A 26505-nucleotide genomic window follows, 5' to 3' on the forward strand; every position below is an offset into this window, starting at 1 on the left:
GAGCACCACTGCTCCAGGAAGATGAGGGTGTGCAATGGGGGCCTGCTCCCCAGCCTTGGGGCAAATTACTTCACCTTCTGTTCCTCACCTGTGAGCTCGCAGCTGCTAAACTCACAGAGGTGTTTTGGGAATGAATTAAAGTTTGCAAAACCACGATGTTCCACAGATGAAAGACACTGGCTTTTTATTCATAATTTGAGCAACACAAGAAGAATAGGTCCTTTCTATACCCTCACGGAAAACAACTTCTTGGTGCCCTGGGCTTCACTCTGCAATCTTGATCCATGCCTAGCATCAGCTGAGGCCCTGTGATGAGCGGCAAGGCCTCTGCTTTGTCTTCATCATGTGGTGAACCTAAGAGGACCCTGGAGCAGGAGGACAGGGCTCAGGTCTCTCACTTTGCAGGTGGATGTGTACCACTTTTTGGGCATGACCTAGTCCCAGGCCCAGTGCTAATGTTCTGCATGTGTTCTCTTACTTAGTCCTTATAACAACTCATGACATAGGTGCCTCCCAACCTTCTGGTCCAGCTGGTAGAAATGCCCAGTCATAGAGATGAAGAAACTGAGGCTTAGAGAGGTTAAGAAATTTGCCCAAGCTCCTGCAGCCACATTCAAACTCAAGTGTCTCCAACTCCCATGCACAAGACAGTGTCTAATTACCAGACCACACCACAGTCCTTCTCACCATGGCCAGTTGTGACACAGGTGTGTATTCAGCAGTCACAAACCCCAAGTTAGTCCAAACAACAGACTCTGCAGGCCCAGCGGCTGAGCCTTGATCCGTCTCTCCCTGAGAGTCATGCATTGCCTCTTGGGGATTCTCCCACTGCCTCCAGTCTCCCTGCCATGAACAAGGTCTAATGAGGGGCAAAGGTATGAGCACCCAGGCTCACCAGCTGCCCAGCCCTCTGGCCACACGACTGTGCTTAGAAAGCCAGGCTGTGTGAGGACCTTCCAGAAACATGTGGCCTTGGCAGGCTCCAAGGGTCACTCCAAACAAAGGAAGGATGGGGAGAGGACAGCCACAGGCACCGCAGCCACATGCAGTGGCTCAGGGAGACACACAGTGCACAGGCCTGGTGGCCCACAGCCACAGGCTCCTCCTGCCTAAGTTTCAAAGCAGGTCCTTGCCCGCCGCAGGCCCTCGGGACAGGAAGGCTTCTAGGAATCCCTTCTAGGCCACTCCTGCTGGCATCCTATTTCTGTTTAAATAGCTCCAAAGAGGGAAATCCCAAGACTGTGGACTTCAAAAAGAAAAAAGAAAAGAAGGGGGTGGTATCAAGGGGAAAACCACATGCAACGGAAGAAAACCCTTATGAAAGGCTGATCCTGTGTCCCTCAAAATAGAGTGGGAACCTGGTCTGCCCTTAGGAAGGACAAGTGTTGCCATGCTTATCGTTCAGCTGTTTGGTACTCAGGTAAATGTTCCCAACAGAAACAAGGTAAAAAGGAGGCTCACCCATTTAGCTCATGAGTCCCCAGAAGTGGAGCCATCCCAAAACCTATGTGCTGATGTGTCAATGGGAAATGCTCTTAAGAGAGGCTGGACACCCCTCTCCCCTGGGCCCCAGAGCAGGATACCCCCACTCCAACTCCTCAATCAGGCATGGGACTAGCAATTCTGCACAGATACCCAGGCTGTGCCTTCAGCGTCAGACACCCTTCATCATCAACCACCCATTGGCCTGGTGACCACCTCTTCTGTGGACACTCAGCTATAGTGCCTGGAGCTGGGAGGAGCATCCTCTGGCCCCTGACCACCTCAGCAGAGTGGACCATGTCCTGCTCTGGCCTCTGCTGGGGCTGGGGTTTGCTTTCAGGCCCCTATGTACTCCACTGCATGGATCAGTTGCTCCCTCTAGAATATCAAGAGCTCTACCTTTCACCTGTTTGGGATCCTCTAAGCCAGACTTCCTGCATGAAGGGATGAAGGGTAAGTTTTTGTTTTCAGGGGGATGTGGGAGGATGAAGAGGCTGCAGCAGGTCCTTTTGGATGAAGGATGTTCTGGATTCAGACGAGGTGGTGAGGAAAGGCCTTTGGATGAAGAACACGCTCAGGGCGGGAGGATAGGAATTGTGCTAGAGGGCAGGGCAGAAGGGAGTGTGGGTATTCAGAGGGCAGCAGGTTTCCCCCTTCCTCCCCTACCATTCTTAGACCTGGCAGGTCCTAAGGAACAGGAAGTAGTTAGTGGTACGTAGACGGTGGGAATCCTGCTGCTCAGGGAGAGGTCTGCAAAGGCTCCCATGTAGGCATAAATATATAAAGAAATGGGCCACACAGAACCCAGGGCCAGATAGTATAGGTTCATGGCATCTTCCCTTATGAATTATATCCCAACATTCAAATTTTATTTGCAAGCATGGCAGGATTTTAACTGCGTAGCAAAAATCACTAAATTGTATGATTTCATCAATATTTTTAAATCCAAGAGGTTGACAGCCAGGTGAGGATGCTGGCTTCAGGGTAAGAACTGATTAAGAAGGAAAAAGGGAAGGCCCTGCAGAGGAGGACTATGAGCAAGGCTGGTAGGATGAGCGTACCATGGACTATCCATAAACTCATTGGGATATTAAGGTCAAAAGTAGCCATGTGGCATCTCCATTGGACAGCAGCAAGTTCCAACTAGAAAAATCTCGGGAAATACTTCATGATTATGACATCACAGGAAATGATCCAGCATTACCTGAAAGCTCATAGGAATTTTCCATATCCATCTAAACATATCTGACAATAGCAAAAAACAAAGTATTCAGAATGAATCTTCAGGATCAGGGAGGCAAGAGAGATGGGCAGATGGGTGCCTGCACCACAACCCCCTACCACTTTCTAGCCTGTCACAGCACAGCAGAAAGGGGCTTTGCCATCAGGCCTGGGTGCAAATCCTGGCTCTGCCACTCCTTCACTGTGAGATCTTGGCTCTATTATGTACCCTTGCTAAGGCTTGGTGTGCTCATCCATAAAACAAGGATAACAGCCCTTCATGGGACTTGCAAGGATTAAGTGAAACAAAATGAAATAGAGTACATGAGGTCCATAAGTCACCATGAGCACCCACTGAACACAGCACTTGATGGGGCTTCATGTTGGTCCTGTTTCATCATAACTTCCAGGAAGTTCAGGATGATGAGGAGGTGGTCATGACCCTCCTCCCTTTGGAAATCACTAAGGGAACTTCAACGAAGGGTTTTACTTGAGGCCCCGGGGTCGCCCAGCTGCAGGCTACTGATGTTCCATGGACTGATCTTGAAATAGCATGCCTTTTACGCCTTTTGAGGGTTTAAATAGTCAAAATTGTGAAACCCGGACTCCACTAAAAATACAAAAATCAGCTGGGTGTGGTGGTGGGCATCTGTAATACCAGCTACTTGGGAGGCAGAGGAGGAGAATTGTTTGAACCTGGGAGGCGGAGATTGCAGGGAGCCAAGATTGTGCCACTGCACTCCAGCCTGGGTGACAGAGCGAGACTCCCACTCCAAAAAAAAAAAATTGTTATTTACTTATGTTAACTAATCAAATATTTATTTAGCACCTACATACTGTGAGCAAATTAAGTAAAAAAAGAGAAATCTGAGACCTTTGACTTTCCCTTAAAATGTTCAAGTCACGTGGGACAGCAACTACCCGAGAAAAATGGAATCCTCCCTACTTCAACAAAGGCAGACAAGTGTAGGCTGTTGAAGTTATCACTACAGCCCACCAAGGCACCGGACCGACCCTATATTCCCATAGATGCTTCCCCTGCTTCCATGCCCAAACACTATCTCCAACCTCCACCACTCTCCACAAGGCCTGTACCCCAGATCATGTGTTCAAAATTGAACTCATGTCTTCCACCTCTTCCTTGGTTCTGGGCGGGACTGATAACTAGGCAGTCATTGTCAGCCCTTCCCTCTCCTTCACCCAGTATCCAAGCCAAGCCCTCCTACACACCCAGCCTCCACACCGTCCATCCTATCCATCCCCCTGCATCCCTGCTGTTACTGCCCCAATTCAGGCCCTATCATCTCTCCCTGTGCTATCAAAATAGTTGTTAGACTGGTTTTCTTGCCAACAGCTTAAAAAAAAAAATCTTTGCTCCTACTACTAGACTGACCTTGCTGAATGAAATCACTCCTATCCTCTAAGCTCTCCATGGGCTCTGTACCACTCACAGAACCCAGCGCAGAGACAGAACCCAGCCCCAAGTCCTGAGTAGAGATTTAGCATGCATAACCTGATCCTAGACCTCGTTTCCACCTAAACTCCACCCATTCCCTCCTGTCAGGTCCTCTGACCCCAGCTGCCCAGCACTGCCCCTTTTCCCTGCACAAAAATTGGCACTCCCAACTTGGTGCCTTGGGTTCATGCTACTAGGATCCTCACCCAACTTCTTATGGCTGCTGACTTTAGTTTAGTTGCCTGAGCCTCAGTTTCCTTCACTGTAAAAGCAGATAAAGATATCCAACTCTTGCACAGGGTTGTTTAGAGATTAAACGAGAGACACATGAGAAAAATGTGGTATATTGAGTGACACACAATAAACATGCAACAAATGGTAGCTGCTACTATTGATAGTTTTTTTTGTTGTTGTTTGTTTGTTTTTTTTTTTTTTTTTTTTTGAGTCTCGCTCTGTCTCCTAGGCTGGAGTGCAGTGGCACGATCTTGGCTCACTGCAACCTCTGCCTTCCGAATTCAAGCGATTCTTCTGCCTCCGCCTCCCGAGTAGCTGGGACCACAGGCACGCGCCACCATGCCTGGCTAATTTTTGTAGTTTTAGTAGAGACGGGGTTTCACCATATTGGCCAGGCTGGTCTTGAACTCCTGACTTCATGATTCACCTGCCTTGGCCTCCCAAAGTGCTGGGATTACAGGCGCAGGCCACCGTACCGAACCTATTGACAGTTTTCATTCACATCATGCTGATCTCTCAAGTCGGCATATCCCATCCTCTACCCATGGGAATCAAATTGGCCTCTCAAAGCCTTGCTCAAATGTCAGAAATAATCATTTCTTCCTCAGAGGAATCCTTACTTTATTCTGCCTTGCAGTTCAGAAGTTTTTACATCTTACCTGTCTCTCCTCTCTAGTGCGGTCAGGAGCTGTGGCTAAATCATCTCTATCCTTACACCTGGCCTAACGCACCTACATAGGATTTTAATACATTTATGTTGAACTGAATTTCTCTAAGAGGTCACCAGCTTGAAAACAGAGTTAAAGTCTCATCAAAGACTTGGACTAGGGGCTGGGTAGTGAGTAGTGAGGGTGTACAGATGGGGAATGGGAAAACCTGCAGATCCTCGGGAATTCCTTTACTTCTAGTCTAGATCCCTGCCGCTACAGCTCTAGGTCTTGGTTCTTACTCTAATTTCAGTGGAGATGAGGAGCACTTGAATTTTTATTTCCAACTTTTATTTTTTATTTATTTACTTTTTTATGATGGAGTCTTACTCTGTTGCCCAGGCTGGAGTACAGTGGCATGATCTCAGCTCACTGCAACCTCCACCTCCCAGGTTCAAGCAATTCTCCTGCCTCAGCCTCCTGAATAGCTGGGATACAGGTGTGTGTCATCACACCCGGCTAATTTTTTATATTTTTGGTACAGACGAGGTTTCACCATGTTGGCCAGGCTGGTCTTAAACTCCCGACCTTAAGTGATCCACCTGCCTCGACCTCCCAAAGTGCTGGGATCACAGCCAACTTTTATTTTAAGTTCAGGGGTACACGTGCAGGATGTGCAGGTTTGTTACTTAAGTAGACGTGGGCCATGGTGGTTTGCTGCACAGAGCACTTGAATCCTGACATTCATTCATTCAACAAGTGCTCACTGAGCACCTGCTGCACCATTAGCGGGACATTGTCTAGGTGCTGGGCAGAGAGCAATGAATGAAAAGTCCCTTCCTATGAGAAAGGATCCTTCCAATTCTCAAAAGCCATTGAACTCCATTATAAATAGCTGTACCATTGTTCAGTTGGGTGGTAAGTTAAATCTGTGTTTTTCTATTTAAATGATATTAAATATTCCCACTACAATATTGAAAAATCCATGAGGAATGAAGGAACTGTCATCCTTATCCAAAGCCCGGATTTAAGTCTGCTGAAGTGGCCTGTCAAGTGGATCCTGCATTGTTTGGTCACCCGATGAGATGACCCCTGAAATATTTTATTTTCCTACCCTTAACTCATTTTGTTGGCTTTTCCTGAAACTTTTATAAGAACACAAAGACTTCCATCCAGTGACCCCAAAGAGGCCTGGCCATATCCCAAGGAGGCTAAGACAGAGGAGTGAACGCTCATTGTGAACGTTCGTTGTGAATGTTGTGTCCCAGGGCTCTTCAAGCAAAGGCAAGACTTGCCACAAGGAGTTTACAATCCAGATGATTGAAGCAAACACACTCACTGGTGTTCCTGTATCTCTGATGCTCCCTATTACAGCCCTTTCTTCCACCCAAATGTTTCTACCTAGTCCGGGTCTCTTACAAACACTAACTCCTTCTCTTCTGCGTAGAAAAGCCTCCTTACTGCCTGACGTCATTTCTACCAGCCTTCCAGGTCGAGCTCAATCCCCAAGTCCTCCACGATGCCCCCTGACCACTCTGGCAGGCAGAGCTCCCTGCCTGCACCTCCTAATACCCACCAGCACTGGGCTGGGTATAAGATCAGGTCACTCACATGGACTAGTATCTCCTGTCCCTCCTTCTCTCAGCCCAGACCTCATTTCCCACCATTACTGATTTAGGAGAGCTGGTTACTATCTTTCCCTACTTCAAGAGACAAATGAGAATATTGGCAAACTGCTTTGAACTCTTTAGAGTCAATGCCACTAACAAGTGCCCAGAACTGACACCACAGAAGTAACCTAGTTGTTACATAACCCTTTGCAGCTATGTTAACAGAGAAGTAACATAGCTGCAAAAGGAGGTGAAATGCTTTTCCTGACATCTGGAGAAGCATGCAAAAAATAAACAACTAAATAAAAAAGGCACAGAGACCCTTGGAGGAGGAGCCAGTTGCTTCCTGTTGAGACACTTTTGTTTCTAAGGCCCGGCCACTGTGATGCAACAACTCACACTGCCACACAGACATCTTCCTGTATTCTCCCCAACATGTTACCCACTTCAAAGCCTTATAGAATAAGGCTGCCCACTGATCTGGTGGTCCGAGAGAACCCTCTCTCATAAAGCAAAGCAAATAGCAGATAGGTAAAACATCTTTATCCAACAGTGTTAACCAGGATGCAGCACGCATCTGGCTAGAGGTGAGGAAGGCCCTGTGCTTGCTCTCACCTGTGCAGATCTATGCCACACCCTTTTGTGCCAGGAGGAAGCAATTGTCTCTTCCGAAGAGTTTAAGCCTTATCAAAGACTTAGACCAGGGGCTGGGTACTGAGTCAACCTTCCTCTTCCCCAGGCCTGCTCACGCACTGGCTGGCTGAGGGCCCCCATCCAAATTCCTGGAATTTCAAGGCAACAGGGCGAGTATCGCCGAGCCCTCTCGGGCTGGCTGGAGTTCCCCAGCTGCTGAATCACCAACAGGCTCTACCAGGGCCGAGTTCTGAGGTTGCAGAGAAGCCGTGCCAAGCTGAGGCACTCTGAAAACCTGTTCCAGCTGACTGGCACTGTGACACGAGGCCTTGAGGTGTCTCTGGAAAGGGTTACACTTGATTTTCCCAGAGTCCAGGAGGGAGGAAGAAGGGGATGGCGGCAGTGGGCTAGGGACAAAGCTGGGGATAAAGTGGCAGATGCTATAGCTATCCACAGGGCCCTGGGCCCTTTGCATTGTGAACCAGCTGAGCAGAGGGCACCTGGCTGACAAGAAGTACAGGAACCAAACACCACCTCTGGAAGGATCCATGGGGAGGTTATAAGTCCCTCCCTATCCGTGAAGGCCCATTGGCCCCATCTCAACTTCCCTGGCCTGTGATGTCTCAGAATTACCATCCTCTGGGCCCAGGTGAGCAGTGGTTCTGCTGGTGTGCACCTCGGGCCAGCAAAGTTAGACTCTTGGTGGCTGAAATCAAACCAAGCCCATCCCCTCAGCTCAGTCAAAGCCATGTGTGGGCATCATTCACACAAGTGGCTTGAAAGTAGGGTATGAGCAGGGAGGAGGTAAAAACAAGCAATCCTTGAACTCTGTCCCATTTCCTCCATGTGAATAGCTTGGTGATGACAAACTCATCCCTGCACCCTGGTGCACAACACCCTGGACACCCCGGAACCACCCTGCAGAAGGCATTGTGAGGCTTTGGGTTTGGGCCAATACAAATACCAGTGTGACTTGGCAGAATCTCAGATCAATGCAGCATCAGCCTGGAAGTAGGGGATGGGGGAAGGGGACAATGCTGCCCCATTGCTAATCCCCACTGTCCACCTTGGGGGCTGGCCACAGGACACCCCTTAGGCATGCTCACTTGAGTTGATAAGGGTGGCTGATTAAGAAGCAAGTTCAATCAAGAAGGAAACAAATCCCCAGAACTACAGGTTTTCAAGAGTTAAGGGGTAAATACACTTACTTCTTGCAGCTCCACATTTCTCAACCCACATCACACTGCAAACTGGCAGAATCTCTAAGTTCTCCTCCTTGGGCCCCAGAAGCAAGGGGCAGGAGGAGGGAGAAGAGGCTAGTAGGGGAGAAAGGCCTGGGCAACAAGTGCAGGCTCCAGGTGCTGAAGAGGAGGAGTGGACGGGGTGGTACTCAGATTTACTCCCTTTCACTGGGAGACCTTGACCAGACCACCCGCTAGCCCAGGGGTTCTTACTGCTGGTAGCAGATGCCCCTTAGGGAGCATCTGAGAACCTGTGGTGGGAGGTGCTTTCTGACTGTCACAAGGACTAGGGGGCACTACTGGTACTTAATGGTGGGGCCGCGGATGCTAAGTTTCTGATTTCTGTAATGCACAGAACCTTGTCTTGCTTAACATATTGACAGTGCACTCTGTTGAGAAATTCTGGGCCCCAACAGAGAAAGTCTCTTCAACTGCAGGTCATTTAGTTTCCAACTGTATATGGGCAGATGTACCCAAAACTCAGGGGAAATGCAACAAGCTTGTAGTCACATGAGCAGACAGGGCCACTCATTAGAGCCTTGAAAATGGTCACAGAAGGACCATGGTGATCCAACCTGCCCCATTTACCTGGAATGCTTTTTCCTGTCAGCTCTTCCCTCTATTCTCCAGGTCATCAGCCTGTGCCTGTCTTGTCTGTCTCTTTGTATTAACCCAAAGCATTCAGGTTACACAACATGAAGCCTATTTATAAAGTAACAAGACTGACAAGTCACAAAACCCACTCCAGGTGTTTTATAGTGGTGGGGTTCCAATGAGACTCGGAAGCCCCAAGAGGGAAGAAACACACGGGGATGATGCATTTGACTTTCTTTTGGTCCACTGCCAGATTTTAAGGCCCCTAATGTATCTCCCTCAGGTCAATACATGTTCTTACCAGCCACGTGTAGCAAAGCTGTTCAGTTAATGCCCCAAATGCACTTAGTTGTATGGGCAGAATCTCATTTATTGACTCGAGACAAACCAGTAAGGAACAAGGCATGCCAACCCCAGAGCTGTGGGGCAGAGAGCATCATGTATCTTTTAGCAGTGTCAATTTAAGACATTTTAAAGGAAAACAAAAATCCCGGAGAAAATGCAATAGCTCTGCTATGGGAAAATGGGAGTGGGATCTCCCCTACCAACCCTGCTCTAGTCCATTTTCCCCTTTAACTTTTGCTGGGGAAAGGGTGGTGATGAGAAGCAAAAAGGAGGGAGAGGGAAAAGAGGAAGTTTTCTGCTAGGATGGTTTAGTTCTAGCAAGAACAGAGACCAGCAGGAAGACTACAGAAAGAAGAATGAAGGTGGCAGCATTTCACCTTTAAGTCCCATGTAAGAGTGCAGTGAGAAAAGGGTTTCAGGTTACTAACAGTTAGTGTATTTCTGAAGTATTTTCTGGAAAAATTAGACTCATCTAAATGAAAGTGGTTCAGGAGTCAAAACCAATTGATAAAGTGGTCCAGACACTTTAGAAGACAGTTTTTCAGTTTCTTACAAAATCAAACACACCCTTATACAATCCAGCAATAGTGCTCCTTGGTATTTACCCAAATTAGTTGAAAACTTATCTTCAAAGAAAAATCTGCATATAGATGCTTACAGTAGCTTTAATCATAACTGTGAAAACTTGGAAGCAACCAAAATATTCTTCAGTAGGTAAATGGATAAACAAATTGTGGTACATTCATACAATGGGATATTATACAGCAATGAAAATAAATAAGCATCAAGTCACATAGAGAAAGCTTAAATACATATTACTGCATGAAAGACGCCAGTCTGAAAAGGCTGTATATTGTATGATTCTAACTATATGACAGTCTGAAAAAGGCAAAACTGTAGAGATTGTAAAAAGATCAGTAGTTGCCAGGGGCTTGGGAGAGGGGAGAAAGGGATGAACAGGTGTAGCACAGGCAATTTTTAGGTCAGTGAAATGACTCTGTACAATACTATAATGGTGGGTATGTGTCATTATAAATCTGTCCAAACACATAGAATGTACAACTACAAGAGTGAGCCCTAATGTAAACGAGGGACTTTAGTTTATATCTAACTTTAGTTAACTAATATTAACTTTAGTTAATAATGTACCAAAATTGACTCATCAATTGTAACAAACATATCACACCAATGCAGGATGTTAATAACAGGTGAAACTATGCAGTGGGGTAAAGCTCTCTGTGCTTTCTGCTCAATTTTTCTGTAAATCTAAAGCTACTCTAAAAAAGTATTCTATTACCAGCTGATGACAGTTACAGCACTGTGAAGTTGGATGACTTTACTCTGCACTCTGGATTGTCCAGTCATACTGTTTCCCTAGGTTCAAGTACAACGTCCTTCTCCTAAGGAAGCCATGGCAGGGGCAGCTTGAGTCAGACATTTCTGGAAATGCAGAGGAGACACTGCTTAGTCGTGGATGAGCAGCCTTGTACGGAGCACTGTGGCTCTCAGCCTCATCTGCTGCCCTGTGGGCTCAGCTGATTGCAAAGACAGACAAAGCTCACTTCCAGCCTTTGCCATCACTATGAATTCTACCCTGCTGAAAACAGAGAGGGCAGAAGCACGCTTATTTCTCACCTATGGTGAAATGTGTTGAAGGGCTATGTTCAGTAACATCTAATTTTAGTCAACTAGTCTTAACTTTAGTTAATAATATACCAATATTTTTGATATATTTTGAACAATTGCTCATTAATTGTAACAAACATACTACACCAATATCACATGTTAATAACAGGGTCATAGTAGCATGTATTCACAGTGGCTCCCAGGGAGAAGCAATGACCAGCTTCGGTCAGTAGCTGATCTCGCCGGGCTGGGCTGCCCTGTACCCCAAGCCTCACTCTCACACTGGGAGCATGTCAGACGAGAGGAGGCCGAGAAAAACAATGATCCCTGTGGAAAGAGGCATGGAAAAGGCAGGGGTTGGGGGAGTGGGGAGGGAAGGGTAGAACGATGTGGGGGGCGGGTGGGTCTTCCAGAGAAGTCATCTAGTAGAAAGGTTGACAGGCACACAGTCAGGAATCTGAGCAGCCTTTGAAACAACCAAGAAAAGCCAGTATCCTGGTTTTAGTGCAACTGGCCTTGCTTGTGTGGTTTCCCACAAAAAAGATGATGTATCTTAGGCGCTCTGGCTCTCAGCTGGGGATAAGTTATCAATACAATTTTTAAAAATCTATTGTCAGTGAGCTCTGTGACCAAGAGGGCAGAACCTAAGAGTTACTACAAGGGTAGTTTAATTCAACTTCTTGACCCTCCAGCTATATAAGGGAGGGCTCCCAAGTGGGTATCAGACACGGCCTTTATCATAAAATGAAGCTACAGCTACACAGAATTCTTCCAGCCTCCTCTCCCTGTTCCTTCTTACACTTCAGGAGAGAAAGGTACAAGAGAGCACTGGGTGGGACGAGGGGGGCTTTTAATTGTCCAGCATCCACCTCTGGTGAAAATGTGTAGCAAGCAGCTCACTCCCATCCCTGGCTTTATCTTTGTTGCCAGCACTGTTACAACCTGACATTTTATGGTATGTATGTCTGTTTGTTTTCTGTCTCCTTGGGACCAAGTCAGGTGTGTGAGGTGGAGGGGAGTGTTTTTGGTTCACCGTATTCTCATTGCCCAGAACAGTGCCTGACACATAGACAAGCTATCAGCAAACACTTGCTGAAAGAATTGTTTCTTTTCAAGCCAAACCTGCCAGGCAGTTCCGCAGAGACATCCAGGGGGCATGAACTACAGAAGACAACACTTGGACTCTCCTATTTGAGCAGCAGCACTTTATAAGCACCTTGTGGAATCTAGGTGATTTCCATCTGGAGTAAGGAGACACTGTTCCAACCTTTCTGTGATGACAGTTCTCCAACAAATAACACAGACACTGGAGCATTTTTCATCACGGATGCGTGTAAATAAATAGTCATCATGGATGTCTTTTCTGAATAGATGACATCTGACACAGGCCTGAATAAAACGAGGGAGCCAGATCTGGAAATATCTGGAGGAAGAGCACGTGCAAAGGTCCTGAGGAGTGAATCCCCCCGCCCCAGTCCTAGAAAAGAGCAGGTGGCTGCTGTGGCTGGGGGAGGGCACACCGGGAAATGAGGCTGGAGAGATGCTGGGGCAGACGCCTCCAGTGGGGAGCACTAGGGGCCTGGACTTTATTCCAAGCTGGGCAGCCCCTGGAAGACTTTGAGCAGAGGAGCAATAACATCTGATGCATGTGACAGAAGAGACACTCAGGGTCCTGGGGACAGAAGAGGCCTTAAGGAGGCACAAGTGGGAACTGGAAGAATGGGGTGAGATCACTGCAGAAGTTCAGGCAAAGGTCACAGTGGGGTGGCCACTGGGACATGAGAGTTGTCAGACATAGAATATAACAGAAACAGAGCCAGCAGAACTTCCTGAGGGACTGAATGTGGGGGTATACTTTGGCCTCATTCTTCCCTCTGCCTCTATCTATACTATTCCCTGCCTTCTCCTTCTACTTCCTAGGCTATGTTCAACCTCCAAGGCCAGTTCAAGTACCAATGTCTGCAAGAACCTTTCCTGACCACCTCAGATGGGAGATTCTGTCTCCCTCAAAAAAATTTAAAAAGCAAACATGAAGAAGTAGGAACTCAGGCTTAGAGATATCCATTAGCAGGCTCAACTCCTGTGAGAGTCAGACCTACATGAGTAAATCTTATCTTGGTCTGGATAGTTTAAAACTTCTCTGAAGCACTTTCAAGTTCCCTTCCAGGGTCTGCCCACCATCCCTGAAATATTAATACTTCAGGATGCTGCCACCTGGAATGAAGGCTTTGTCCTTGGTCATTCACAGGCAGATCCCAGGGATCTCCATCTAAGGCAGTGGTGTCCAATCTTTTGGCTTCTCTGGGCCACATTGGAAGAAGAAGAATAAGAACACACATAAAATACACTAACAATAGCTGATAAGCCAAAAATAAAATCACAAAAAATCTTGTAATGTTTTAAGAAAGTTTATGAATTTGTGTTGGGCCACATTCAAAGCCCTCCTGGGCCACAGGCGGCCCATGGGCCACAGGTTGGACAACCTTTGTCTAAGGTAACCCCAGGTTTACTTATAAGACATGCATTAAATACCCAGGAGAAATTAGCCTGCAGATGACAACGGCTATGCCCAAGGCTTTCTGGAAGCTCACACAGTGTCTCATCTAGCTCAGCACAGACCTCAGCAATACCACCTGCAGGCAGGTCTGACAGCAACCCAAGCTCAGAGGTGAAGGGTCCACAAGGACCAAAGCAAACAGGCTCGGTGCTGGCCTGGTACCAGAGCACGTGCAAGCTGCAAATGCCCAGCCCAAGACTGTGCTCTCCTCTAGGTTTCTATGCCCTCAATGTACCACCTCTGCAGCAATCCCTGAGGCCCCAGGTCTCCACTTTCCTTTATATCTCCACACTGCACCTGTGGGAGAAAGTTTAACAGAGATAGCCACCTCCACTGAAGTGGGTGTGATGATGCTGAGCTGGCTGCTCGGGCAGGAGCACTGAGACATACCCTATATCCTCCAGGGAAAGGAGTCCTCCCCTCTAAGAAAAGGTAGAAGGCAGTGTTCCTTCTGACTAAGAGCCAGACAGAATACTCATGTGATAACTCAACAAGGGCCCAAAGTTGACAGACCTGAACGTCCACACAGAGTATGGTCAGTCCCATTAGCTGTGTTTTTTTGCCTCTTACTTCGAGGGGAGGCAGACACCCCAGTGTGTCCTGAAGGGTTTCAAACATACCAGTCCACACCCTCATGGGCTCTTTGCCTTGCTGGGAAGCCAATCCTGTCTAACAGGACTCCGTAGTGATTCTCCATGGCTATGGTACTAGATTTATGGAACACCTTTTAAAGCCTCAAGTACTGCGTTTAAAAAAATAAAAAGCCATGAGATATAAGCAACATAAGTGGGGACACCTTCAACTAATTCTTAGAAACACATATTTTCCTCATTCTTAAGGAAAAGAGTCCACCATCTCAAGCAAGAATGCAAATACACTGCGCTTGTATCACCACCTCCATACAGAACCCACAGCAGACATTACTAATTGATCACAGCACTACTTCCTGCTGAACTCAGATGCAGCTTCCAAGTCCTTCTAAACAGCCACTTCCAAATGATCACAGTTGTCACAGAAGATGGAATATTTCCCACTTGCTTCAAACAATATCTGCTGCTATGTCAAGGATGTGGGTGGAAGGAAAAAAAGAGGGAAGTGAAGAGAGACTCTTAAGGGTAAAGTATGTCATCAATGAAAACATTGATCAACCCTTGAATGTCACTGCAGAGAATGAACACAAGGGCAAGAGGAAAGGTGAAATAAGAAGTCCATGAAGTAGGAAATGAAACCTCTACTTGAAACACACCCACACTCTCACATACTCACACAAAATTATTGCCAATGGAGCAAGAGGTCATCCAGAGACACTCGTTGGTATTGACTACAAAATGAAAGTGGATTCTTTTCCCCCCAGTATAAGGGAGGCAGTACACAAGAATATCAACAGCTATTCATACCAATCTATCTACCTCCTTAAAGCAAATGGTTTTTATATAAACAAAGTTCCAGATTTTCAGAAAATTTCTGCCTGTGAAGCCTCTGAAAATAGCTCATCAGGTGATAAACAGACCAGTTGAAAGCGACGAAACCATTTATGGGAGAAGCTAAAATAGAGAAAACCCAAACCAGCACATAGCTAGGGAGTTTAGAACAATCCAGATTTTGTTCTTGCTTTCTAATTATCTTATTGGGAACCTAAACATGAGTTTTCCCAAAGTTAATGACTTTATCTTCACGGCCAAGCAGGGAGGCCATTCATCTACTTTTGCTCTGCCCCAGTGGAGTCAGATGACATCACAGCCCCCAGAGAGCAGGCACGCTTGGCTTTGCCTCCAGCCTCTGGGGCCTTGGCTCAGGGAAGAGGAGCATGCACACAAAGATAGGGATTCCCTTTCCAACACAATCCTCTTCCTCATTCACAAGGGCGGCTGGTGCCGGCCTTGTTTAAAGTATATTCAAGGGAAGATGCATATCATATCTTATTTACTGGGATAAAAAACATACACTAGGCTCCTACGCCTGTGGTTCATTTCTCAAGGCTCGGGACTCAGAGAAACTGCCCATCCTCTCTTAGCCCATCCCCATCCGTGGCCTGTGAACAGTCACTGCTAGAGCAGAACCCTCTCCCTGCTTTAGGCAGTTCCTCCCCCAGAGGAGCCAAAAACAGCCAGAAAGTGCTGTTCCCTGATTGTAGGTGGTGAAGCACATCTCTGAATAATTAAGCAAGTGTATATTCTTTTTCTTTTTTTTTTTTTTTAACAGGGCCTCACTCTGTTGCCTAGGCTGGAGTGCAGTGGCACAATCACTGCTCACTGCAGCCTCGACCTCCCTGGGCTCAGGTGACTCTCTCACCTCAGTCTCCCAAGTAGCTGGGGTGACAGATGCACACAACCACGCCCAGCTAATTTTTGTATTTTTTTTTTTCATAGAGACAGGGTTTCACCATATTGCCTGGTCTTGAACTCTGGGCTCAAGTGATCCGCCCATCTCAGCCTCCCAAAGTGCTGGGATTACAGGCGTGAGCCGCCACGCCCAGCGGTTTATTTTCTTTACTGCTGGAAAACAGCGTCTTTTCCTTGTTATCACTCACTGGTTCTGTGCAGTTTGGACTCCTTGTGTTCTGAGGTACAAGCTGAAAAGATGAAGAAATTTCGACCCAAAGGGACTGCTCTGTTATAAAATGTTAAACCTTTTCCCCCTACCCCCACCCCCCAACACCTGCTGAATGTTACAACGGAAGCACATCAATCAGGTGAGGAAGAAAAATTTTAGATTGTGGGTCACAAAGATTAGCTGACCCAGATGAAGATCAAGGAAGCCTCTAGTGCAATGTGGACAAAAACTGCAGAAAATACCACAAGGGCCTCTGGTCTGAGCAGCAGAATTTTTAAAAGAAGCTAATGTCTGTGTGTTTAAATCTCAGGAGATAGGTTAGTTTCTTGGCTTCTGAAAACATCAACTCTTCCTCCCCAACAGACCAGCAGGATAGGCTGCTGGATAGGCTGCTGGTCTTGTTAACTGTGTTAACTATGTTAACTGTTAACTGTTAACAAATTAACTGTGTTAACACAGTTAACAAGTAGTCAACTTTTGTCGAGGAGAAGGGGTGGGCCCTGCAGTAGATGTAATCTGCTTCAAGTAATTCAGAGATGTGAATGATTTGGAATTACAAGCAAATTAAGGGGAAACTCTCCTAAAGGAAGACCATAAGGTCCTTTAAATAAGAGACAGATGTTTAAAATCCACATTTTTTTTTTCCAGAAGCTCATTCATTGCAAAGAAGTCTGTCTCACTGGTTGTTTTGTGTGTTAGCAATACACTGTTTGCCAATGCATACAACTCTCTTTATCTAAAGGAAAAAAAAAAATACACCTTTAACAAACATTTGTAGAATGCACACACTGTGGCCCTGCTCTAACACTTGGGGATGCAGACCCGAACCAGATACTGAAGTGTCCACTATTCGGAGGTACAAAGACCACCCAAAAATGCTGCCAGCTGAATGAAGTTCTTACATACAAGTAAAAGAGCAAATGCTATTTTTGTTCTCATCTGCTGTTCCTTCAAGTCAGTGGAAATGCCTGTGCTTTTTGTAGGTTCATGTCATCGCTAAAGTTGGTGGGGACAAGTCTGAAAGTAAGCCAGCTATTAGCAACTGTGCTCTCGCAGGTTCTATCTTTAGTTGGACTGTGAAGAACTAAAAGTGTTAAAGTAAAAGTGTTAAAGACTCTGCAGCCTTCTGCCATTGTTTGGGGGAAATGTTGGTGGGGAGGTGTAGAGGGGGATGAGGAGGAGGTGAAGCCAGTGCCCCAGGGGCTGTGGCTCAATGTGCCCCATGACTTCCAGGCGTGTCACTCACTGGGGGACAGACTGCCTACATCAACAGATCACTCTTCAAATCAAACACCTTTAAAAAAAATTTATGGTAGAAAAGCAAACAAGCCCCCACCAATGAATTTATTATTAGAGGTTCCTTGGTCATAATAAAATATGTCAAATAGCATGCCTCTTGTGATCATCTGAATACCTGAACTGTTGACTGAAGGAGGGAAAAAACCACTCTACCATACTTGTTTTTTTATATTTCCTAGCACTGGGAAGGGCAGTATTTCTTTTTAACCAGCATGACAACCACCTATGTGGGAATTACTCTCATCATGGTAAATATGTCGGAGAGTGGCTGTCTGAAAGTCTGGCTGCATTTAGCCCAAGTCTGTTACACGATGGTGCTCTCACACACAAACAACTCCAGGCACCTCAGCATCCACAGCCTTCCACAGGCTGATATGGAGAGTCAGAATGGAAGCAGCATGGCTAGGATGGCAGGCAAGGGTCCTGGGCTCAAATCCTTATTCTGCTACTTGCTGGCAGAGGGAACTTGGGCAAGTCACCTAACAATTTTGTGCCTCAGTTCAGTTTTTTTTTTAAATCTCTAAAATGGAGATACCATATCTCATAAGATTGCTAGGTGGGTTAAAGGAGTTTGTACAATATGTAAGGTACTGGAAGAACTATGAGCCAGGCAACCTTCTAACTATTGGCCATTATCTTTTAGAAGAAAGCACCCTTGCCCTGTCATACCAAGAAGGTGCCCAAGGTGTCCACTGTGTACCTCATGCCATATTGTAAAAAACTGTGTGTCTGCTCCTGCCATGATCTATAAAAAATTCAGGAGCTGAGGGCAAGGGCTAGGTCATGGTTCTCTTTGCATTAATAACACCAGACCCAGCAGAGTATCTAATATACAGTTAAATGTTTACTAAAGTGAACAATCCACAAAATAAATCACCAAAATAAATATGTAGATACATAGCATCTCCCACTTCGTGCTGATCTTAGTTTTGTTATTCATTCCATTGCCTCTATAAGCATTAAGTAAAGAAAGTAGCTACCTCAGGTGAATTAAGCACCAAATGTTACATTAGGCCTAGTTCACAAAAATCACAATTACTGTTTGATCACTTAGATATATCCTACATGGGATGATAGCATAGATATTCCACATGCCTCTGCTCTCACTATTAAAAGAAAAATGCCCTGCTTTTTATCTGAAATCCAAAACATCCAATTTAGTTGAAAGGACTGTTTTGTTTGTTTTTCCCTCTGTTGCACCGTATGGGAAAGAGACACTTCACAAGAAAATAAGGTCGTATTACATAGTGAATTGATGTTGTTTTCCTAAGAGTAAATCCCTAACTTTGAAGTGGTTCACTGGTGCAATACCAGTCTGTTAGCCAAAATCTTCTACAACCCATATAGGATTCAAAAAAGAATTTATTTGAAATTATGACCTCAATAAAAGAAAGCCCCATTATCTTGACCCTAGTAGAATGCTTGTCCAGGAAACTGGAGTAATGCTTTTTTTCTCTCTCTCCACAATTAAAGTTAAAATTGAGCAGAGTTCTGTTTAACTAAGTCAGGAAGAAAACTGAACTCACTGGAACTTCTCATTCACAAGTACTGAGGGAGACTATGTCAACTACAGGTATCACATGAGCATAAAGAGTTTATTAGAGAAGACCTTTATTGAGAGACGCAGAAATAGCTTCTGAATCATTAAAGAATGACGAAGTTACTAAGCAATCCTTAATGTGTATGTGCACCTAACAACAGTGTCAAAATCCATGAGGCAAAAACTAATAGAACAGCAAGGAGAAATAGAGGAATCCACTATTATGGGTAGTGACTTCAATATCCCTCTAGCAGAAGTGGTTAGATCTGGCAGGCAGAAATCAGTAAGGACATAGTTGAGCTCTGGCAACAGCAGAATACACATTCTTCTTAAGCTCCTGTGGAACATTCACCAAGAGAGACCACGTTCTGGGCCATAAAATATACCTTAACACATTTAAAGAAATAGAAATCATACAATGCATGCTCTCAGACCACGATGGAAATAAACTAGAAATCAATAACAGAAAGAGAGCTGAAAAATCCCCCAGTACTGGAGAAGAAACAACACACTTCTAAACAACACATGGGTCAAAAAGGAAACTCAAGAGCAGTTAAAAATATTTTGAACTAAATGAAAAGAAAAATACAACTTATCAAAATGTGTGGGATGCAGCAAAAGCAGTGCTTAGAGGAAGATTTATAGCACTTACTGAATATATTACAAAGAAGAGATATCTAAAATCAATACGCTAAGCTTCCACTTTAGGAAACTAGAAAGAGAAGAGCCAATTAAGTGCAAAGTAAACAGAAGAAAGATGAAGTGATTCATTTTAGTTACTGTTTTGCTCTGTGCTGAGTATCTGAAAATTAGTCATCCACATGGGATAGCACAGGCATATTTCATTTGATAGAACTTTGCTTTATTGTGCCTCACAGATACTGTGGTTTTTTGTTTTGTTTTCTTTTTTCTTTTTCTTTTTCTTTTTTTTTTTTTTACAAATTTAAAGTTTGTGGCATCTATCCAACAGCAAGCGCTCACTTCGTGTCTCTGTGTCACATTTTGGTAATAATCACAATTCATTATTATTATAATATCTGTTATGGTGACAGGTGCTCAGTGATCTTTGATGTTACTATTGTAATTGTTTCGGGGTGCCATGAACCACACCCGTAGAAGACAGCAAACTTAGCTGATCAATGGAGCAGTCAGAACACACATTTATCAGTCATTTCTCCATCTCTCTCCTTCTCCTCAGGCCTCCCTATTCCCTGAGACACAATAATATTAAAACTAGGCCAATCAATAAACCTACAATGGCCTCTCAGTTTTGAAGTGAAAGGAAGAGTGGCATGTCTCTCACTTTAAATCAAAAGCTAGAAATGATTGCACTTAGTGAAGTCTGCATGTTGTAAGCAGAAATAGGCCAAAAGCTAGGCTTCTTGCTCCAAACAATTAGCTAACTTGTGAATGCGAAGGGAAAGTTCTTGGAGAAAATTAAAAGTGCTACTCCAGTGAATACACAAATGATAAGAGAGCACAATAGCCTTATGGTTGTTATGGAGAAAGTTTCAGTGGTCTGGAAAGAAGATCAAACCAGCTAAAACTTGCCCTTAAACCAAAGCCTACTCCAGAGTAAGCCCCTAGTTCTTTGATTCTGAGAGAGGTGAAGAAGCTGCAGAAGAAAGTTGGAAGCTAGCAGAGGCTGGTTCAAGAGGTTTAAGGAAAGATGCCCTCTCCATAACATGACAGTGCACAGCGAAGCAGCAAGTGCTGACGTAGGAGCTGCAGCAAGTTATCCAGAAGATCTAGCTAAGACCATTGATGAAGGTGGCTACTCTGCACAATAAATTTTCAGTGCAGATGAAACAGCCTTCAATTAGAAGATGATGCCATCTAGGATGTTTGTAGCTATGGAGAAGTCAATGCCTGGCTTAAAAGCTTCAAAAGACAGGCTGATTCTCTTGTTAGGGGCTAATGCAGCTGGTGACTTTAGGTTGAAGCCAATGTTCATTTACCATTCAAGATTCCAAAGTCCTTATGCTATATCTACTCTGCCTGTCCTCTACAAATGGAACAGCAAAGCCTGATTACAGCATATCTGTTTACAGTATGGTTTATGGAATATTTTAAGCCCACTGTTGAGATCTACTGCTCAGAAAAAAAAAGCATTTCTTTCAAAATGTTACTATTCATTGACAATGCACCTGGGTCGCCCAAGAGCTCTGATGGAGCTGTGTAAGGAGCTTAAAGTTGTTTCCATGACTGCTAACACAGCAACCACTATGCGGCCCATGCTCATTAAAGAGCAATTTCAAATTTCAAGTCTTAAGACCTACATTTTATAATGCTATTGCTGCCACAGATTTGTGATTCTGCTGATGGGTCTGGGTAAAGTAAATTAAAAATCTTGTGGAAATGATTCACCATTCTAGATGACATTAAGAACATTTGTAATTCATGGGAATAGGTCAAAATATCAACATTAATAGGAGTTTGGAAGAAGTTGATTCCAACCCTGATGACTGACTTTGAGGGGTTTGAGACTTCAATGGAGGAAGCAACTACAGATGTGGTGGGAATAGCAAGAGAACTGGAATTAGAAGTAAAGCCCGAAGATGAGACTGAATTGCTGCAATTTCAATAAAATTTGAACAGATGTAGAGTTATTTCTTCTGGATGAACAAAGAAAGTGGTTTCCTGAGATGGAATCTACTCCTGGTGAAGATGCTGTGAACATTGTGGAAATGACAACACAGGACTTAGAGTATTCCATAAACTTAGTTGGTAAGGCAGTGGTAGGGTTTGAGAGGACTGACTCCAAGTCTGAAAGAAGTTCTGCTATGAGTAAAATGCTATCAAACAGAATCACATGCCACAGAGAAATCTTTCATGAAAGGAAGAATCAATTAGCATGGCAAATTTCATCGTTGTCTTATTTTAAGAAATTGCTCCAGTTACCCTAACCTTCAGCAACCACAACCCTGATCAGTCAGCAGCCAACGACATCAAGGTGATATCCTTCACCAACAAAGATTATGATTTGCTGAAGGCTTAGATAATTGTTAGCATTTTAAACAATACAGTATTTTTAATTAAGGTATGTAATTTGTTTAGGCATAATGCTATTGCACACTTAATAGAACACAGTATAGTGTAAACATAACTTTTATATGCACCGGGAAACCAAAAAGTTCATGTGACTCACTTTATTGTGATATCTGCTTTATTGTGGTGGCCCGGAGCTGGGCCTGCTGTATCTCTGAGGTATGCCTATACTTCTCAAACTTTTCCATCAAAACCCCCGTAAAATGGCAGAGAGAGGGAACTCATACCTATCCCTCTAGTCTGGGAACACAGCCTGAAGCAATCCAATGGAAGAAAAAAAAATCACAATTTACATAAAGCCTTATCTTTTATCCTAAAAATTAACTTTGATATTTTTGTTTGTTTGTTTGAGGTGGAGTCTCACTCTGTCGCCCAGGCTGGAGTGAAGTGGCACAATCTCAGCACACTGCAACCTCCGCCTCCTAGGTTCAAGCGATTCTCCTGTCTCAGCTTCTCAAGTAGCTGGGATTACAGGCACCTGCCATTATGCCCAGCTAATTTTTATATTTTTAGTAGAGTTGGGGTTTCAACATGTTGGCCAGGCTGGTCTTGAACTCCTGACCTCAAGTGATCTGCCCGCCTCGGCCTCCCAAAGTGCTGGGATTACAGGTATGAGACACCACAGCCAGACAACCTTGATATTTCAATCTTGCATCCTATTCATTAACACATCTAAGTTTGTTTTAATATAGAAAACAATGTTATGACTTGCCACTTAAGTTCCTTTTTCATTCTCTAGTTGTTCCCGTGCCAGGTGTGGTCTGTGGTTCCACATATGCCATGGCATACTCTACACTAGTACTCCCATTTGAGAAGGGGACATGAAAATAGACAGTCTCAGTTCACCAGAATGTGGAGGATTGCAGGCCTGCCTCATGACCCGGCCCAATTCTTATAAAACACTAAGTTCCAGAAACAATAGGAGAGAGGATAAGCAGGTTCACCATGCCTTTCAGTACAGTAAGACCCAGTGCCCACCAGTCTCTGGCCAAGTGAGAGAATGGCCAGAGAACAGAGAGAGAAACGTGGTAAGTAATCCTTCCCTTCAACATCACCTAGGTAGGAGGGAAGTCAAGGTCTCATTATGAGGGTTAGAAGTGATGGGTATCCACTGGAATACACTTTATCTTCTTGGTCCTGAATATTTTCTGCCTTAATTTTCTAGTGCAATAACACATTCCAACTCATAAGAGTGGTTCATTATAGCCATGATCCTTAGATCAATGGAACAGAACAGAAACTCGACAGACAGACCCAAGTACTCCTAAGAATGTATCAAGTGACAAAGTGAGATTTGAGATCAGTGAGTGGAGAATAAACTATTCAATAAATGATGTTAGAATAACTGGATCATTATTTGACAAAAAGGCAAGTTAGATGTTTACCCCACATCTTACACCAAAATCCACACCCAAAGAATTAAAATTTAGATTTGAAGGTAACTACATAAATGTATGAGGGGAAATCAGAGATCAAAGAGTCACAGAAAATCATTTCTACCCCAAGACTAAGTATTACACAAAAGTAGAAATCATAAAGGGATTATGAACAGATTTTTAGTCCCTAAGGTTAAAAACAAAAAAATTACACTTTTAGTAAACCTAAATACAACTCACATAAATTTAAAAGGCAAGATGACAAAATATTTTCAGTGTGTATTTTTAAAAACTGCTTACAAATCAATAATAAAATCACTAACCTACCCAAAACAGGGCCTAAGGATACAAACAGGTAACTCACAAGAAAATAAATTTAAATACTCAACCATGAAGCAGCATTCAATCTTACTGAAAACCAAAGAAATACAAATTAAAATGAGATACCATTTTGCCAACAGAATTAGCAAAGTCTAGAGAATGAAAATATTCACAACCATTCACACATAAACAATAGAAGTATAAACGTGCACAGCTTTTCTGTTGTCAAAATATATTAAGAGACAAAAAAAGTGTGAAACTTTTGACCTAGTGATCAATTTCTCATGATTCATCCATAGAAAATAATTTTAAAATGCTGATAATAACTCAGTGGCAAGAATTTTCATTTCAGGTTTGAATATTTAAAAGTTTAAAGCAATCTATATCTCCATCAATAGCGATGGATTAATAAGTGATAAGAGTTGTATAACAGAATATATCCTAGCCATTAAAAATTAATAGTTTATAGATATATTTATATGTTTGCCACAGAAATATTTTCCCCATATACTGTAAGCGAAAAGCAGATTTTAAAACAGAATCTAGCAATGTTGTGAAGGGAAAAAAATGACTATACAAATATCTGTATCCTTGCCCAGAAAGAAGGCTGGTAGGACACCTGGCAGTTAAATCTAGTAAGAGGATGTCTCTGGTGAGTCAATCTGGGGGTGTTTTTACACGCTGTTTGCAGATTCTGATTTCTGCTTCATTTTGGGAAAACAATGTGCAGGATTGAACTGAGGCTGGTGGAAAAGGAGTGTGTCGTGAAGAGCTCACACAGGGAGATGGCAGCAGAGGATGCACGTGTTCTATGAATGAGAAGAGGCCGGTGCTGTGGCCAGCACAGGGGTGTGCTTGTTTTGAGGGTTTTCTTTGTTGGGGGAGGAGAGTGCTTGATGAGATTCAGAGAGAGTCCAGATCCAGAAGGATTCTCCATCTGTGTGATCTATGAGTTTACCTCACATTCCTAAAAACTGCTCAGGCCCCAGGCTTGCTTTCATTCCAGTTCAGGGACCTATGATTCATCCCCTGAAACCCTAATTATAACACCCTAGGTCTGCTATGTGCAAAAAACATCTGTCATTGTTGAAATTTGCTGGCAGGGAGTGTGTACAGCACGCAGACCGGCCTGATGATGCGATCCTCCACTGCAAAACTTAAAACCCAGAAACCATCCCGAGGTGAGAAGGGTTCCAGCCAAAAGTTTCCAACTGCGCTCGGTGACAAATAAGATGGACAGGTTATGGCCACCATAATTCATTTGGCAATTCCTCAGGGCTGCTGCCATGGCGGAAGTTACAGATCTTAAGCTCTGTCAACCCCCCCAAAAAATATATATCATAAATTTGAGTTTTCCTTGTTAGTTGCTAAGAACTGGGAGAGGGAAGGGAGGAAAGTCTGTAATTGCAAACACCTTGTTTATCAGCTTCAGCCACTTTTGTGTGACCACATTACCTGAACTATTAGCCAGTTAATCTCCTATGCCTCTTGGAAGTACAGTAATTACAAAGAGAATGCCTCAGACCTGGCAAGAGATGATGAAAACGAGTAAAGGTATATCTATCCTCTCAGCGCCTAGGAGAATTGTTTACTGACCTCATTCAAACTCAGACTAAAGCCCCTAAGGAACCCAAGCTGAAGATACGGTCTCATTGTAAGAATCTAATATTTTAACCTAGAAGTGCTGATTTTAAAAACACAGCAGAAAATAAACAAAATCAACCAACCAACAATAAATTCTCTCATATAAGCATTGGTTGTGCACCTAATGGACACAATGGTAAATTTGGAGGTTTTTAAGGTGTATTTGGAGGTTTTCAAGCTTTTTAAAGTTTAACAAAGCATCAAGATGCTGCTCAGCAGCCTCAGCTACAAATTACAATGTCATATACTCTCCAAATCAGAAGTGGCATTGCTATAACAACTGTGGTATATGCACGTATGCAGACAAACTAAGGTTATTTACCTGGTCTTATGGGAACACTGTTACTTATGAAACTTTTCCTTCAATTTTATTTAAAAGAAGGGTATTTGCACTTTGGGAGGCCGAGGTGGGCAGATCATTTAAGGTCAGGAGTTCGAGACCAGCCTGGCCAACATGGTGAAACCCTATCTCTACTAAAAATACAAAAATTAGCCGGGCGTAGTGGCGGGCGCCTGTAATCCCAGGTACTTGGGAGGCTGAAGCAGGAGAATCGCTTGAACCCGGGAGGTGGAGGTTGCAGTGAGCCAAGATTGCGCCATTGCACTCCAGCCTGGGTAACAAGAGTGAAACTCCACCTAAAAAAAATAAAAAGAAAACTTAAAAATAAAAGAAGGGTTTTTTCCCTCTAAATATCATCAAGAAAAACAAACTTTAAAATATGTCTTATCTTGGGGGCCTTGATACTTACTTTATTTCACATTTGTTAAAGTCATATTACTAGGCCTGGCATGGTGGCTCATGCCCGTAATCCCAGCACTTTGGGAGGCTGAGGCAGGTGGATCTCTTGAGTCCAGGAGTTTGAGACCAGCCTGGCCAACATGGCAAAACCCCATCTCTACTAAAGAATACAAAAATTAGCTGGGCATGGTACACAGCTGTAATCCCAGCTACTTGGGAGGCTGAGGCACGAGAATTGCTTGAACTCAGGAGGCAGAGGTTGCAGTGAGCTGAGATTGCGCCACTTCACCCTAGCCTGGGCGACAGAGCGAGACTCTGTCTCAAAAAAAAAAAAAAGAA

The 26505-nt window shown here is 44.2% G+C and overlaps 1 protein-coding gene across 4 annotated transcripts in view, besides 1 other annotated feature; it reads right to left on the reverse strand.

Moving 5' to 3' along the window:
- Positions 1 to 26505, reverse strand: part of TGFA (transforming growth factor alpha) — a 106543-nt gene that overhangs the window by 69754 nt on the left and 10284 nt on the right. The window lies entirely within an intron of this gene.
- Positions 6975 to 7591: an enhancer, noted in NCBI's record as "H3K27ac-H3K4me1 hESC enhancer chr2:70751144-70751760 (GRCh37/hg19 assembly coordinates)". NCBI's record gives its function as "activates a minimal SCP1, AML or CMV promoter by ChIP-STARR-seq in primed H9 embryonic stem cells {active_cell/tissue: H9 hESC(primed)}" and the evidence as "EXISTENCE:reporter gene assay evidence [ECO:0000049][PMID:30033119]".

The sequence above is a fragment of the Homo sapiens genome, chromosome 2, assembly GCF_000001405.40.
Source record: "Homo sapiens chromosome 2, GRCh38.p14 Primary Assembly".
Classification (NCBI taxonomy): Eukaryota; Metazoa; Chordata; class Mammalia; order Primates; family Hominidae; genus Homo; species Homo sapiens.